Below are 17,194 nucleotides of genomic sequence, written 5' to 3'. Positions count from 1 at the left end.
AGCATGAGAACGAACTAATGCACCCTCTCAGAGTTGTTTGTGAGGGTCAGATGAGACATCATGTGTAAGATATTCAGCACAGGAGTGGGCACATAGTAGATGCACAGTAAATGTTGAGTAATATAAATATCATTGCAATTTACTGCAACAAATAATCATAGAATTCTGTAATGAAGCACATTCTGATAATGAGAAGAGGAGGAGGAAACACTCGGGGACTGGCAATTGAAAACAGCAGGATTGCAGAATCCAAAGGCATTCCTGGACCACAGCTTCTTCTGGAAATGTGGCTGCACTGCTCAGAGTTAATGAGTTTCTAGAATAAGGTTCTGTATGGAGGGAAGAGGTTTTAAGTGCCAAGTTCTATCCACTCCAATTCTCATGCACTGTAACCCTTGGCAAATCTTCTTCACCTGAGAGTTCTGATTCTGGCTCAGCTTTCTAGTGTGGTACCAGTTAATTACAGTAATAAGATAAGGCATTCTTGGGCAGCAGGGAGATGCTGGGCTAGTGTGGGACAGCAAGCAGGGGGAAAAGGGATTTAGTATAAGCCAGACAAATGGTATCAGAGAATCTAGGAGATGGCAGTGTCCACTCCAGTGGTCTAAGGGTAGGGGTGGGGCGAGAGGTTGCTCATGAGGAAGATGGGGAGGATATCAGCGCAATTATTTCTTGGGGGTCAAGGACCATCCCAATGTGTGACCGTGGGAAAGAAAATGGGGAAATGCACTGAATGAAGACAGAAGCAATGCAGACAAGATGAGACAATGTGAGTTTATATCGGGGCCATGAGTTACCCAGAGGCTTGTCTGGAGCAGTCCTCCAGGTACACTGAAGGCTCACATGGGTGCCTTTCCTAAGGCTGGATACAGTAGCCCAGCTGCCTTGGGCAGGGAGCCCCCCGACACACCCTTCACCAAAATGGCACCATCAGAGCCCATCCTGAGTCCTCTCTACACAGGGCCTCTGGTGACTCTGGAACCTGCTTATGGGTCCTGGAATCCAGAATTCCATGACTATGAGACGTCGAACACTACGAACACTAGGAGTCCTCCCTGTCTTTGAAATTAGCCCTGTTGACCCACAATCCTGTGGTTAGCATGAGATTTGGGTTGGACGGTTTCGAGGTGAAATCCCAGCTTTGCTGCTCCCTTGCTCTGTCTCCTCGGACAAATGACCTCTGCTCTCTGAGTTCCTTAGTTGTAAAACAGGGGTTATCACACTTATCTTACAATGTTTTGTTGGGATTGAATGAGAGAGGTGGAAGTTGTGTGATAGAATGGGGCTGGGGAAGCTGTGGTTGGAGAAATAAGGTCTTGGTTAGCAATGAACAATCTGAGAGCTACTTAGTTCATTTCATTTACTCCTCCCAACCAAGCGCACCTTTATCCGCATTTTATAGATGAGAAAATTGTGGCTCAGAAGGGGTAGGCAACTTGTCCCAGGTCACATGAGTAGAAAGTGGCTAAGCTGGCATTCAAACCCAGGTCTCTCAGGCACCGCAGCACTACACACCCTCCCACATCATGCATATAATGCATATGCGGATTTTCTTGTTTCCGAGCACAGCCAGTGTTGGCTGCTCCACGGGGCACAAAGCAGAAGAAACCTTGACTTGCTGAAACTCACTCTAAGAGCACTGCTTCTTGTCTCTTTCTCTTCTCATTTATCCACAGACCCCCCAGATGGCCATGGAGGTAGCAAGATGGCCAAGAATTTCAGTTAAAGAAAACTCCATGTGCTTTCTCTCCAAGATGAATGTGTATTTCCCAGGTAAAGCTGGAGCCCCTGATGCACAGGAGCAGTTGAGAGTGGCCTGGGCGGCCCCTGCATTTCTGAGGCAGTCCCAGCAGAGAGTTTGCCTGTGTTGTTATGTGTCCTTATTCGTTAAGGATTCTCTGTATTGAGATGCAACCTAATTAGGGTTGAGCTCAAAGGCTGTTCATTTGGGGGCTTAGTTCATAAAAGATTAATGTTCATTTTCCCTGGGTTTTGTTGCAGAATTCAGCTGGAAAAAATCCAGGGTGCACTTCTTCCAAGAGAAGTAGCACTTTGGTGGTTTGTGAAAATCCCTTTTCCCTCATGTTAAAGCCTTGATTTTTATGTCTCCCTCACCACTTCCCACACTCCCCACCCTAGCATTTTGATTTCTGGTGATGTATGAGAGAAAAAAATGAATTCTGTAATCAGGGAAATCTGTTGGAGATATTATTCAAAGTGAACGTATTTACTTACAGACAATTTTTTAAACAGGTGGCAAATAAAACAAAGCACATAGGAAAACAGTTCCTCATTCATTCATTTATTTATTCTCTCATTGAGCAAATATTTATTGAATACCTGTTATATGCCAGGCACTGGGCATTTACATTATATATTTCATCTGATTTTTCTTTTTGTGATTTGCTTGAGCAATTTAATTCTATCATTAAAGTGATAATGTGAAGTGCTTCCTACCTATGAATGGGTAGCTTCCTATAGTACTTCTGCTGAGAGAAAATCATATCTATCCAATGAAACAAATGTTAACTGTATTTTCTGATAACAAAAGTAATATATGCTAGTGGTAAAGATGTGAAACAATATGGACCGATTACATTTAAGAAGTAGCCACCTTTCATAATCCCAACTCCTAGAGATTTCCACTGTTAATGGACTGGTGTATATTCTTCCAGGTTTCGTTTTAAGCAACAAACTACAATTAATAATACAATTTTATTTACAGAAATGGAAAACAGCACTTCTGTTATGCAACATGTGTTAGTCACTTAATAACTGAACCTATTGTGGTGCACTGTCCGTGTGAGCCCCCAGAGAACCTCCTTGTTTTAAATGGCTGCATGGTGTTCCATTGTGTAACATCTTTATTCTGGCAGTTCTCTATTCAGGATATTTTGGTCGTTTCTAATTTGCTATTATTACAAGCAATGCTTCAGTGGACCTTCTTGTAGCCACATTGGGGTGTTTCTACCAGTATTTCTGTGAATAGATTCCTAGAAGTGGAGTTAATGAGTCCAAGTGATGAGTGCCTTTTTTTTTGCTAATTTCTTAATTGTTGTATGAAATGTCAAGACCATTCACACAGAAGACATGTTGTCTTCTGTAATCCTTTCCCTCACACTCCTTCCTTTCTCTAGTTCCACTCTTCTCAAGATATTTTTAAAGCAAGGGTAACAGGTGTTTGGGAAAATGGCTCTCTAGTTTTGAAAGGAAGCAAAAGTAGAACATAGCTGAATCTTTCTTGCTCTGAGCAGCTCTAGCTGCAGGTGAATGAACAAAAATAGCCTCTTCCCTTCCCTGGAGTCAACGTCCTTGTGAATTCTTGCTGACATGATCATTCCCCTGGGAGGGCCAAAGCCTGGATTTGCTTTTCTTTATATTCCGTAGGTGACCTGGCCAGCAGAAAACAATAATAATCACGGATGTTTGTGGGGGAAAGCATCATTTAAGCTTAATTAGTGACTGTGTTCCTCAAACAGACAGTGACAGTTTGAGTCTCTAAAACTCCTTTGAGGTAATATTATCATTGCAGGATACAGCATCTTAGGTCAGATGAGCCATTTCTGTGTTTGATAAACTTAGGAATAGAGTAGCTCTAGTCCCAATTCTTCAACTTCAAATACTTATTAACATATGTATCTCCCTAAACCCTGCACTTTACTAGTATATTTTTTGACATTTCTCTGTTAAAACTGAAAACACATAGCTGGATACATTGTAGAAATGCAAATCTTATCTATGTGGATGTCTCTAAAATTTTACTTCTGTGTTTCTTGGGCCACATTTAAATGAGAGGTCTGTGTCATCACAATTAAAAGATCCCAAGAGGACCTTCTCAAGAAGGCTGAAGCCACTGCCACAGAGCTTCCTCCTCCATCCCTGGCTGATTTTGCTATCTCTGTCCAACAGAGGGCAGTCCATTTCTCTCATTGGCCTGTTCACGTTTGAAAAACGTTCCTTAAAAACAGATCATTCTCAGCATCTCAGAAGTCAAGCACCTTTCTCTTTATCGAAATCATTCTCAGCACACTTCTAGGAATTACACACCAGTGAATATTCCAAACATAGGACGGACGTGGAGATTTTCTTTTGTTAGAAATACCTCCATTGCTCAGAGTCAAAACTAGGAACTGAGCAAAATTCGTGTCTTAAATTTGTGTTCTGAAGTTGTTTCTTTTTGCCGCTTTGGTTTTCTGCTTTTGTTTTTGTTTTTGTTTTTCTAAGTCTCACTATCCTGGCAGGTCAGGAGAGTTGATTTTGAACAATTTGGAATTACAAGTAGTTTAATCTCTTCCCAACACTAGTCATTATCAAGTTTTTGCTGTTATCAACTTGGATATTTCTCACTGTGGGGGAAAAAGAGGTTAGAGGCCTGATGAGTCACAGGGCTGGAAAGGGGGCCGGGAGCGAGGACACTTTGTGTTGTTGACGGAAGGGCCCGCCACTCTTGGAAGAAGATTTGCCATCGATAACAAACAACCCGCACCGTTTCCCTTAGGTTGGCACAATGATGTTCAACATAATGAGACGTCGGGTCCAGTGCCAATCCCTCTCTGACTGCTGGTTAGAGTTTCTATCCTTCCAACTCCACCACAAGGAAAATAGTGCTGAGGAAGAAACTGTCCTGAGAAGTCTTGGGGGAGAGCAGGGGAAAAGGCGGAGGAGAAGAAGCACTAACTGCCAGGGCGGGAGCTTTGTCCCCTCTGGGACACCGTCCAGAGATGGAAACTGGCATCCCGACAGGCCTCGCCAAGGCCACCTGCTTACTGGTGGAACAACTGAGACTCCAGCTGGGTTTCCGTTGCTTTCACTCCAGTGGTAGTTTGTCCCCCAGGCCAGTCCCCATGAAGCACTCCTGGTGTTCAAATCCCTGTGCAGTCCCCTCCCACCCTTCCAAACAATCTGGATTGTACCTGTGACTCACCCATAACCAACAGGATGTGGCAGAAATCACACTCTACTGCTTCCAGGCTTTAAGAAGGCATAGCAGATTCCACTTGTACACTCTCGCAAGCCATCTACTGTGTAAGAAGTCCAGCTACTCCACTGGAGAGAGACCCCTGCAGAGGCCGTGGCGGGTGAGGCTCCTGATGAAGACAGAAACTACGTAGAGGGGCATGGAGGTGCCAGGTGTGAGGGAAGAAGCCATTTTCACAGTCCCACCCGTGGAGCCTCCAGATAGCTCCAACACCAGCTGCCGTTTGATTGCAACTGCATGAGCATCCCAAGCCAGACCAGCAGACTGTCCCACTGAGTCCAGTCAACTCACAGAATCATGAGAGACAATAATAAACTATTGTAAGACATTTAGACTTTGGGTGGTTTGTTACACAGTGTTACATGACAGAAGCGCTCCCCCTATTACTTTAGCACTCTCTGGCTGGATGGTCTTGATACCCTATGAGACATAGAGGCTGGTTGTCATGGGAACCAGGTTTCCTGCTCTGCTCCTGCTCACGAAGGAGGACTGAGCGAAGATGGTGCAGAGAATAGGTTCTCTGCTGCAACCCAGGAGTCCTCGGTTCTAGGCCTGGCTCTGGCATCAACTAGTTGTGTGACTTGTGCAAAGAAATGTCCTTACTTTAAAAAGATGATAATTCAACTCTTAGGGTGGATGCCACCTTTTCCTTTCTTTGTATGTGGCAGACATCATGAATCAATTGTGGTTTTAATGAGCCTAGACTTGGCTGCAGAATCCTTCTCAACACAGACAGCTCCCACCTTCTGATCAGAGTTGGCTCATCAGATGAATCCCGTTTGTTACCTCTGGACTAGATGATTTCTAAGTCCCCTTCTAGTACTTTCAAAAAATAAATTATTAACTATGGAAAGAAAATGGATTTGGAGAAGGGGAAGTCATTTATCGAAACTCCTCATTGGTTTCTCTTTGCTTCAGAAGAAATCTCTGCTCCTTAGAAGGGTCATCAAAACCTTGTGTGATCTGAACACCGTCTGTTTCTTCAGCCTCATTTCCCGCGGTTCCTCATCTGTACCCTATACCCAGACTCACAAATTTCATGCTCTGTTGTAGTGATTTCTTTATAAGCTTGTATGCCTGCTTAACTTGTCAACTCCTTAAGACCAGGGACAAAGATTTCTTCACTGATATACATCTCTAGCACCCTATATGTACCTAGAATCTATTACATCTAATACTGTGAGGTGGGTGACTTATGAATGAATTAATACATAGTTAATGACAACCACTTCATTTATTAGTCTTTTGGGCTGCAGTCTTTCCCAGGCATCCCAGCAAAGGATGGATGCCAGCTTTGATAGGTTTGAGCTTTGCAACTAGAGCCCCTCCTGAAACCAGGTCCTGCTGGGAGTAACCTAACAGCTTCCACAGAGTCTTAGAAAATTCTTGATTAACGTTACCTTAGATCAGGGCCATAAACTCAAATGCCTGCAGGAGCTGGATGGATAAAGTAAGAAAGCAAAGTGGATGCACCCCTCCAAAAGTGTGAGCCCCTCTGGCACTCCTGCTGATGGTTACCATGTGGGGTTATGAGTCTCCAAAGTGCCCTCTCTCCCCAGCATCTAGAATAATGCTTGGCACTTAGATGTTTATTGAACATATGAATCATCCTGCCCCCCTTTTCAGAACTGCTGGAAGAATCAGTGAAGAAAAATGAGAAGTGAGGAGGGAGAGGCAGAGGAAGAGGAGACAGAAATTAACTATATGTTATTGAGGGTCTACTATATGGGCAGAGTGAAAGGAGAGTTTTCACCTCTATTATCTTGCTAAGCCCTTACAGCAAGCACATGAGCCGGATTTTACAATCCCTGTACAATTAATGAGAGATCTGAAGCTCAGAGAAGTTAAGTATATTGTGTAAGGTCACACAGCTAGGCAGTGGCTAAGCTAAGGTTTGAATTCAGCTCTGTCTGCCTTTATGCTTGTCTCACATTTAGATAGCTCAAAACTGCAATCTTTTATATATTTTATTTAATAATTATTCTGGAAGTCTGTCTTTTTTTGTTGTTGCTGTTTTTATCTTTGTTTACAGCTGGTTTTTAAATATCCATCTTAACATAAGCTAGCTGGTCAGAATCACATCTTCTAAAGCTGGACCAGTGGAGGGAAGATGCTTCACACATTAGAAATGGCAATGGTCTTGGAGTGAAAACATGTGGGTACAGCTATCCTTGATTGGCTGTGTGACCCTGGCATGCAACAGCGTCCATCAGAGCCTCAGTTTCCTCATCTGTAAAACGAAAACATCAGTTAAGTGCTCGTGTCCTTCTCAGCGCTGCTACAGGGATCCACTGCAGTGGTGCCTGGAGCTGCTCCACACCAGCTGCCAGCACCAACATGCGTATGAGGCTGGCTCAGAAGGCTGCAGGGCCCCTGGGAATGGAGGCAGCCCTGGGGACAGGCCAACAGCCCCGGAAGAAGGCCGAGTGTCTGAATAATGAACGTGTTCTTTAAATGGAGTTGTGGCCCTGTGGCGTGCTGAGAACTCATTTTCCACAGTTCACTATTCTCCTAGTCAATGGGGCTTGACTTGATTATCCCTCCTCCCAGCTTCAGGAGATGTGGGCAACATTGGAGATTTGTTAAAAATTAGCTAAATAAAATCATCCTCTCCTCCTCAGCAATAGTTTCTGTGAGTGATGGGGCTTTCACAGGGTAATTTTGTAGGTGGATATAAATCTGAAAACAGAAAATACACCTGTCATATGTCTACATGTAGGACTGTGAATGTTGTGGATAGAACACCCATACTTAGAGGGGAAAAAACAAAACAAAGCACAGATCCCGAAGACATAGTCCCCAAACCAGAGTTAACCTCATTGCTGGTTTCACAGTGACTGCCAAACCCATCTCTCTCACACTCACCCATTTTGGCCACTGTCAGGCAGACATTAGTGCTGGCGTTTTTATTGTTATATGTATTAGATTGTCTTGAAATGTTTTAAAGAAATAACATTTAAAAATAAATTTATGAAAATGTCCTTTAAAAGTAAAATTTTCAAATAAAGGAATAATCTATTTTTTCAGCTTCCAAAAGTCCACTGTGGAAAATTTGTAAAATGTGGAAAATAAAAATCACCCACCACCATCTCACGCAGAAATAACATTTTTTGCCACGTCTTTTAATGTGCCCACATAAATCTACATATAAATGTATGGGCAAAATCGGATCACGCTGGATAGATGATTTTCTGCATTGCTTTTTTTACCTAATATTGTGATGTGAGCATTTTTCTCCCTGTATTGTTGAATAGCTTTTAAAATCATGATTCTTAGTGGTTATGTAATTTCATGAGATGGTTGGAAGATGACTTATTTAAATACTTCCTGGTTGTTGGAAATTTAGATTGAGTTAGAATAACTTTTCAATGAAAGAGGAAAAAAATGCTAGCTATTCATGAGGCAACAATGATTTCTCACCCTATATGAGCAACCAGTAATAAACGTCAGCAACACCATCTAGCATGTGATGAAAGTTCCAGAAATGGCAGGAAATGGATGGGGAACTCGTAAAGGATGAAGTGAGTTATTAGTGTTTATTATTTATATGGTACAGTAAATATATACAGCACAGGACTAAGCATTTGCTTGTCAGTGACATACAACCAGTCCATGGTGCCACAGAGCTTGGACAATGCTGAAATCCACGAATCAAGGCAGCATCTTTAGAGGACATGGCGAGTCAGCCATTCCCGTTGGAAGGGGCCCTACCGAACCTTCTCAACACCAGTACATTTCCTTTGCCTTGGAATGACTTTCACTTTCAAGGACAACACCTCTAGTCCCCTGACAACCTCAGGGTGTGTGCATGCGTGTGTGTGTGCACGCAGGCACGGAAAGGAGGAGGGAGCAGAGTGAGGTAAGTACGGATTTCCTTCCTATCTTCCATAGTTTTGCCTCTTGGGATGGCAGCTTTCAATGGCCACGTCCTGATCCTTGTGAATCTGAGAATCCCAACAGACCAGAAAGCCTCTCCTGCTCGTGCACGTGAGACAGGGATTCTTACCTCTAATTTACAGTTAAGGAAATAGAGTCAAAGAGCAGTACAACAACTTGATCAGGATTTCTCTTTTCAAATGACAAACCAGGACTCCAGCTCAACACCCTAAGTCCCACGTCAGTGATGACACCCCAGCTGACTCCCTAGGACAGCATTTTTGAGTGTCTGTTTTGAGTGTCTTTCAGGCTCTGTTCCCTTTTCCCGTTTACACTTATTTGGAAGTAAAATCTCTTTGATAAAGTAGGGAGAGGGAATTTAAGAAAGAAACTCTCTCTCATTCTTAGACCTATAAATGGGGCTTTCCTCAGGCTCCCCAGCCATCTCAGTCTCCCATCCCTGCTTTATTTTTTCTCTAAAGCACACCTCCCATCTAACACGGTATAGATTTTACTTCAAAACCAAAATATCTCCCCATTAGAAATAAGCTCCCCTAGAAGCAAGTCCTTTCAAAGTAGCGCAGAGACTGTAGAATGTAGTAGTAATAGCCACCATTTTTTGAGTACCTGCTAGGTGTCAACAACTTTCCAAACATTAATTCTAATTCTTGGAATATTCTGGTGACAGGTAAGTATTCTTCCTGCACTTTTACAGGTGAAGAAAACAAAAGCTCAGAAGGGTGGTAGGAGCACTTCACGGTCACAGAGCTCAGATGGCGGCAGAGATGGGATGTGGTCCAAGTCAGCCCGAGTCCAAAGCCGTTCCCCTCATCTTGCTTGGCTTTTAGAGAGACAATTGAGGAGGGACAATTGGGTCACTTTGGCATCCAACTGGATATTTCCTGCCTAGTGTCTAAGTGATGGGGTGGGGATGAGGAGTAAGTCCGGGGTTCCAGGACTTCTAGGAAGTGCTTCTAATCCCGACAGGCTGCTCAGACATCATTTTGTCCCAACTGGCAAATCCTTTAGTTTCCTTTTTTTTTTTGAAATGCCTTGGCTCACTGAAACCTCCGCCTCCCGGGTTCAACCAGTTCCCCTGCCTCAGCCTCCCAAGTAGCTGGGATTACAGGTGCCTGCCACCACACCCGGCTAATTTTTTGTATTTTTAGTAGAGACAGAGTTTCATCATGTTGGCCAAGCTGGTCTTGAACTCCTGACGTCTTGATCAGCCCGCTTTGGCCTCCCAAAGCACTGGGATTACAGGCGTGAGCCACTGTGCCTGGCCTAGGTTCCTTCTTTCCCTGAAACAGCTCCTTACCCTTTGAAGGCATAGACTTGGACTCTCTCAAAGTTGCTTATGAGTGGGCTTATCTGATTCTGTTCTGGGGGCCAAGAGCCAAAGATCCCTTGGAACATTGGGCAACATCTAAGTCAAATTCACCCGCTTCTACACAGCCTCTCGGCTAGAACCAAGCCTGTGATACAAACATATTCCAAAACAGAGACATGGAGAGTCTTTGCAAAACAGCCTAGAGAATCTCAGCTTGCATCGTTTCTAGCAGAGGCACTGTGTGTGCCCCGCATGCATTAACCCAGAGACAGGCAGTTAAGTGCCCCTTGGGGAACCGGATCCAGAACCATAGCTTTATTCTTTGCCAGCTCCTTTAGCTGTGTAGATAAATGTTTTCAATCCTCCCCCAAACCACCACCATCTTTTAAAATAGCACTTGAGGCTTGGCGCAGTGGTTCACGCCTGTAATCCCAGCACTTCGGGAGGCCGAGGCAGGCAGATCACAAGGTCAGGAGATCAAGACCAGCCTGGCCAACATGAAGAAATGCTGTCTCTACCAAAAACACAAAAATTAGTGCACGCCTGTAGTCCCAGCTACTCAGGAGGCTGAGGCAGGAGAATCGTTTGAACTTGGGAGGCGGAGGTTGCAGTGAGCCGAGATTGCATCACTGCACTCCAGTCTGGTCAACAGAGTGAAACTCCGTCTCAAAAAATAATAAAATAAAATAAAATAAAATAAAATAGCACTTGAAGATGTTAATGAAACAAAATCTTACCTGGCAACTGAGTTTGCAATCCAAACAAGATGGGGATGCTTGCAGAGGTGGAAGTCTCCTTCCAACAGGCCAGCCCAGCCTTTTTTCTCTCCTTCAACTCCAGGCCTGTCTTCTTCTCACCAGACCCCCAGGAACTGCTGGAAAATCACTGCTCTAGATCATCCGAGCCAGGAGAAGTTGCCTGCTAAAAGCCTGGAAGCGGCACAATGTCACCCCACAAGTCCCCATCTCCATTATAGGTAGGAGGTGGAACCACTGAAAAAGGTATTCAGGTAAATTCAGGTAGACAGCAGTTGTGATTCTGCAAAAGCCACATTTAAGCCAACATAGTCCCTTGTGTCTCGGACTGTCAGAAGCTACTATTGGCAGAAGGAACTTTACTGGGTCACCAGCATGGGCCAGGAGAGCACAAGAAGGAGGAATATTACATGGATTTGGAATTGGTGACTTTTCCATGCCATGGCCCTCATTTTTCTACTCTGTCTTGCTATGAACTTCAAAATTTTTATACTAACTCAGAGCAAATAAAATCTTGGATTAAATTTTATAATTTATATAGCTGATTTTATTCATTCATTTATTCTGCAAATAGAGTGCCTGTAATGTGCCAAGCTCTGGTCCAGACACTGGAAAAATAGTAGTGAACAAGACAGATGAAAATCATGAACATTTTATAGCTCAGTCCTAATTTTGACAATTACAAACAATATTTTTCTCTGGGAAGCGGGGGGCACATGTCACCCCATACCTTCTCCCATATGAATGCCCAAAAGCTGACCTTTCCTCTTGGAAGGAGACTTCTTATTCAAAACTGCTTCATGCCATCAGAATGGTTATTTTAAACTGCTCTTTTTAAAAAGCGTATATTCAGATTTGCTGCGCCACTTAGAACACAAATTTAAAACAGTTTGTGATCAAATGGCATTTTTTAATTTGTCTTGATTCATGTGAAAGTAATTTGAATTCACATTAGTATTCTGGAAACTGATCATTAACACTTTTTAACTGATTTTGTAAACACATTTTGCTTCCAAAATAAACATAAACAGGGAAGGAGAACGCTCAGTGTAGCTGAGGCATGAAGACACACACCCATTAAAGGGTAAAGGCAGAATCCCCAGCGTAAAATGGGGAAGGCGTTTGAGAGTCATTTCATCACCAACTTGCTTCATGAAAAACCTGCAAGAAAAATGTGAATAATTTCATATTTGCCTGATGGGGGAATTTTAAGCTGCAGAGTTGTTTATGTGTCTATCACGGATCATTGCAAATAATTAAGATGGGTTGGGAGGTGGGGACAGATAAACATTTGATAAGGCAGGAGGGGAACTACATGTGGCAGGAATGAGCAAAATGGCTAGGCTGCCTTCATGCTTAGCCAGAGTGGGAGATTTGGAGATACACAAAATTGGAAATGTTTTGTGGTCCAACTCTCCTCCAGTCAATGCCTGGATCCCCTACCTACGTTCACTGGGGTGCTGCCCAGCCTCTACCTGGATCCCTCCAGGGCAGCTCAACTGACCTTCCTATGACACTCCATTGACCCACATCCTTTAGTTCCCAGCAGTCTGGCATTCAAATATGCACCTTCCAAATAAGCAAAAAATAATTGCATATTTACTGATTTAATAGGAATCTAATTCGTAAGCCCCCAGTAACACTCTTGTATCCCCTTTTCCTTCTCCTGGTCACCTCATATTCCATACTGTCCTAGGCTTCCTTCTCCAAACTCTCCCTAAATGCCTCCAACCTACTCTAACTCCAGAACCTCTGGTGCTTCTCCACCCGTCATTTGCAAAAGTACAAAGAACTCTGGAGTCCTCCTAGAGGATAGGAGAGGAAAAGGAACTCCTTAAATAAGACCAGGCTATTCATTCTATCAAGCTTGTTATATGGAATTGCAAGATGACTTAGTATAGCTTCCAAATGACAGAGCACACTTGATTCAGGAACACAGATTTGGGAGTCAGGCATACTTGGGTTTCAGTCCCAGTCCTGTCACTGAGTAAGATCCTTATCTTTCTGAACTTCTCTTTTCTTATCTGTATAACAGGATGAACGATGTTTACTTTATGCAGTTGCTATACAGGTGAGGTGTACATCCAGCATTTGGCACAGTACATTCATTAAGTGGATGGCAGACCTATTCTTAGCATTTCATCTTTCCTCTAAATGTCCAGCGTAGCCTAGTGCCAGAAATTTTCTGAGCTTCTCCTTCCTCAGTATTAATCCAATTCAACAAACATTGCCCGAGCACCTATCCCTGCCAGGAATTGTGTGGGAGCTGCAGATTAGGTGACAAAGACAAGGTCCCTGTTTCTGAAAAGCACTGACAATTACTTGTGACTTCATACAGAATTCGTGGAATAGAACCAAGGAACTAAAGTTTACATCAACAGAATAACAGGAAGATAATCTGCTTCAAAATGAGCCCCATTGTTCTGTCTCATTGCTTGAGTTTGGTGACTTAAAAGACAAGATCCTCTGCTACCACTTAGCTATAGGTGGGTCATTGTTGAAGCCTTAGTTTCCTCATCCGTGAAGTTGGGATTGTATAACTTGCCTTGCCTGTACCTCTAAGCCTTGGTGGGGAAAGAAATAGGAGGGTGAACATGATTTAGAACCATACTGTGCCATAAACGTTTGCTGCTATTGTTAGTCCCAATTAGAGTGAGCCACCCAGGATCTCCAAATTCTCTTCCAGCCTACCTTGACATGCTAGAGAAGTAAAGCCCCATGATGCCCCAAATGCAGGAATACTCCACTGGTCCCCTGTGATGGTTAATATTGAGTGCCAACTTGATTGGAATGAAGGATGCAAAGTATTGTTCCTGGGTGTGTCTGTGAGGGAGTTGCCAAAGGAGATTAACATTTGAGTCAGTTGACTGGGAAAGACAGATCCACCCTCAGTCCGGGTGGGCACCATCTAATCAGCTGCCAACACAGCCAGAATAAAAGCAGGCAGGAGAACGTGGAAAGGCTAAACTGGCTAGGTCTTCTGGCCTCCATCTTTCTCCTGTGCTGGATGCTTCCTTCCCTCGAATATCAGACTCCAGGTTCTTCCACTTTTGGACTCTTGGACTTACACTAGTGATTTGCCAGGGGCTCTTGGGCCTTCAGCCATAGACTTCCCTACTTTTGATGTTTTGGGACTCTGACTGGCATCCTGGCTCCTCAGCTTTCAGATGGCCTCTTGTGGGACTTTACCTTGTAATCGTGTGAGTCAATTCTCCTAATAAATTATATACTATTAGTTCTGTCCCTCTAGAGAATGCTGACTAATACATCCCCCAACACCTATGTTGCCCTACCCTAATGAGGCTCGACACTACTCTCAGCTGTCTGCCTGCAAGAGTCAGGACTCTTTGGTTTCAAGTGACATAAACACAACTCAAACTATCTTGAGGGGGAAAAAAAAGGAATGCATTGACTTGTAATATCTAAGAAAGGGCTATGTAGAGCATTCAGGAGACACAGGGCTGCTCAGAATACAAAGCCTTCTTTCGGGAAATGCTCCTTCAAGCCACATCATTTCTGGAAAGGACTACCAATCACACGCTACTTCTCTCTGGCCAAGATGATTAGTCCAAGACAGACATTGTGGCTGACGCTGATGGTGCCTGTCTAACCTGCACAGCGGGCAAGCTAGAAGTGCTGTGGAGTTAACTAATGCTCCCTGAGCAACAACCAACCAATGAGGGCAGGAGTTGATGCATAAATACTCCAGCGTCTTACTCCTCAATGGGTGCATATTGGGGCTGGGACTTGGAACAAAATTTAAGAGAACACCAAAAAAACTCCATAATCAAGATAAATCAGGTTCTGATGCAATATGTTGAAAAATCAAAATTAATGCAAAAATTCAGTGTGTATAAAATACTAACATTTTAAATAAAATCAGTACTGATATTTCTGATTTTTCCTTTTGCCTTATGCTCTAATATGGCTCAGCTGGGCATTTGTGTGTTTCTTTTAACTGCTTGTTTGCAAGTTCAGTAGAAAACGAAAGTGGAAGCAGCCTTGAACAGAGGCTGAGATGTCCTCCTTGTCAGGCTTCTAACTGGGTCAACCTGAGTGCTGCTCCAGCTCAGGGTACTATGCCTGGTAAGTGCTGCCCAGAGCTCCTTGGGAGGGGCAAGGCAAGAGACATGTGAGCACAGTCTGAGGGACATATGGGCAGTTTATTCTTTGATGTCCTTGGAAGAGTGGTCATAATTTGCGTGATATAAGCCAACAACCAAGATAGATAAGCCTCAGGAGAGCTAAGGTCATTTCAACTAACAAATCACTTGCTCCATAGTGGAGAAAGCAAACTACAGATCCATACACAAACATGGTAAGTTCATGGGAAAAGATTTTAAGTCAGTTCTCTCTCTCCCTGTCCTTTACATCTCTCTCTCTTTCTCTCTGTCATTTACATCTGGGGGAACCTTTGCCAGGTAACTGAATAACACAAAGCAGCATCTAGGAGAATGGCTTCTTTCTTAAGCACACCCAACATGATGAGATTACCTAGAGATGAGTGCTTCTTTTGTGGGGAGAATTTGATCTGTGCACCATTACAAACCAGGCTTGGGGGAAGCCAAGCCCACAATCAGAATGTAATTGAAGTATGTTACCTATAATAGGTTCAGATGTTTGTGATCTTCAGCACTTTATGAATTCTGCAGCAGATGGGCGAGGGCCAGGTAGCAGGCAAGAACAGACTGGGTTAGGCAGGCTGGCACTCTGACAAGGGCAGCCACAGCTGTGGTTCGGGTGTTATTCAGCACGCCCACCCACCGCACCAGCAGCCTGTCTTCCCCAGCTCACAGCCACGGCCGCCTTAATGAAGAGTGGAGGTAAGCATGAATCCCGGCTTTCCAGGGATCACAACATTTGAGAAACCCAGAAGAATCAACATGATGGAAATGGTGCCAAATTCTTTTGCCTCTTGCTTTTTAACAAAAAGAGAAAGAAAGAAGGAGAGAGGAGAGAGTGAACCTGCTAATAAAATGTGCATCTAAACGCTTTCCATTTTTCCTGGGCTTTTCATGTCTTTCCTCAAAATTTCTGTGCTGGAAGAGGGAAAGCAGAGTAAGCACTGATAAAAGAATATTGAATGGGATATAAGAATTTAGGTGGGCCTGTGTAGTGGACAGGATGCTGCAGGTGCAGTTTCAAATCCTTGCCCTGTTCTTGCCCCATTGTGTAACTTTGGGTCAGTTCTTTTTATTTATACTTTCATTTTTATTTTTTTTGAGACAGAATCTCACTCTGTCACCCAGGCTGGAGTGCAGTGGTGGGATCTCAGCCCACTGAAATCTCTGCCTCCTGGGTTCAAGAGATTCTTGTGCCTCAGCCACCTGAGTAGCTGGGATTACAGGCATGGGCCACTGCACCCTACTAAGTTTTATATTTTTCGTAGAGATGGGATTTCACCATGTTGTCCAGGGTGGTCTCAAACTCCTGGCCTCAGCATCCCAAAGTGCTGGGATTTACAGGCACGAGCCACTGTTTCCTACCTTTGTTTAAAAAATTTATTTTGAGGCAGGGTCTCACTCTCCCACCCGGGCTGGAGCGCAGTGGTGCAATCATGGTTCACTGCAACCTTGACCTTCCAGGCTCAAGTGACTCTCCCACCTCAGCTTCCCAAATAGCTGGGAATATAGCCATATGCCACCACACCTGGCTAATTTTTTTTAGTAGAAACGGGTTCTCTCTATGTTGCCCAGGCTGGTCTTGAACTCCTCGGCTCAAGCAATTCTCCCTCCTCGGCCTCCCAAGGGGCTGGGATTATAGGCATGAGCCACCTGGACTGGGCCAGTTCTTAACCTGCCCCGCTCTCTGTTTCCTCATCTTTCAGGTAACCAAAATATAACACCTGTCTCACAAGCTGTTTGCTTCATGAAATAAGGTAATACGTCAGTAGCTAATATTTATTGGGCACTTATTATGGGGTCAGATTTTATGTGTCAATTCTTTTAAATCCTCTTACCAACCCTGTATGTTAGGTCATGTTATGATTCTTACTTGTAGATGAGAAAACAGAAGACAAAGAATGTAAACAGTTTGCCCAAGAATCTAGCCAAGAAGTGGTGGACCTAGATGGAACAATGCCAGCTCTAAAGCACACACTTGGATCTACTGACTCCTAAAGGTCCCCGGGTCCTTACCTACAATTCCAAACTCCAAAAAGCTCTGAAAACCACAAGTTCTTCTAACTTATTTAACAGTAGACCTGGATTTGACCTGAATTATTCAGCAGCAAAAAGTCTTCTGAACTGACTTGAG

General features: G+C 43.7%; 3 long non-coding RNA genes across 3 annotated transcripts; 1 reads left to right on the top strand and 2 right to left on the bottom strand.

The window, feature by feature from the left end:
• Nucleotides 1-2,701: 2,701 nt before the first annotated feature.
• Nucleotides 2,702-7,867, bottom strand: LOC124902658 (uncharacterized). Its single transcript, XR_007062645.1, has 2 exons — nt 4,925-7,867; nt 2,702-4,346 (listed from the first exon to the last, which is right to left on the bottom strand). It is a non-coding gene; the product is annotated as an uncharacterized LOC124902658 (long non-coding RNA).
• A 628-nt stretch (nt 7,868-8,495) lies between these two features.
• Nucleotides 8,496-11,176, bottom strand: LOC124902657 (uncharacterized). Its single transcript, XR_007062644.1, has 2 exons — nt 10,922-11,176; nt 8,496-9,695 (listed from the first exon to the last, which is right to left on the bottom strand). It is a non-coding gene; the product is annotated as an uncharacterized LOC124902657 (long non-coding RNA).
• A 3,871-nt stretch (nt 11,177-15,047) lies between these two features.
• On the top strand, nt 15,048-17,194 carry LOC107984420 (uncharacterized). The gene is made up of 3 exons (XR_001748489.2): nt 15,048-15,257; nt 16,767-16,817; nt 16,940-17,194. It is a non-coding gene; the product is annotated as an uncharacterized LOC107984420 (long non-coding RNA).

The sequence above is a fragment of the Homo sapiens genome, chromosome 11, assembly GCF_000001405.40.
Source record: "Homo sapiens chromosome 11, GRCh38.p14 Primary Assembly".
In the NCBI taxonomy this organism is placed as follows: Eukaryota; Metazoa; Chordata; class Mammalia; order Primates; family Hominidae; genus Homo; species Homo sapiens.
This window is presented reverse-complemented; position numbering and strand designations above follow the sequence as displayed.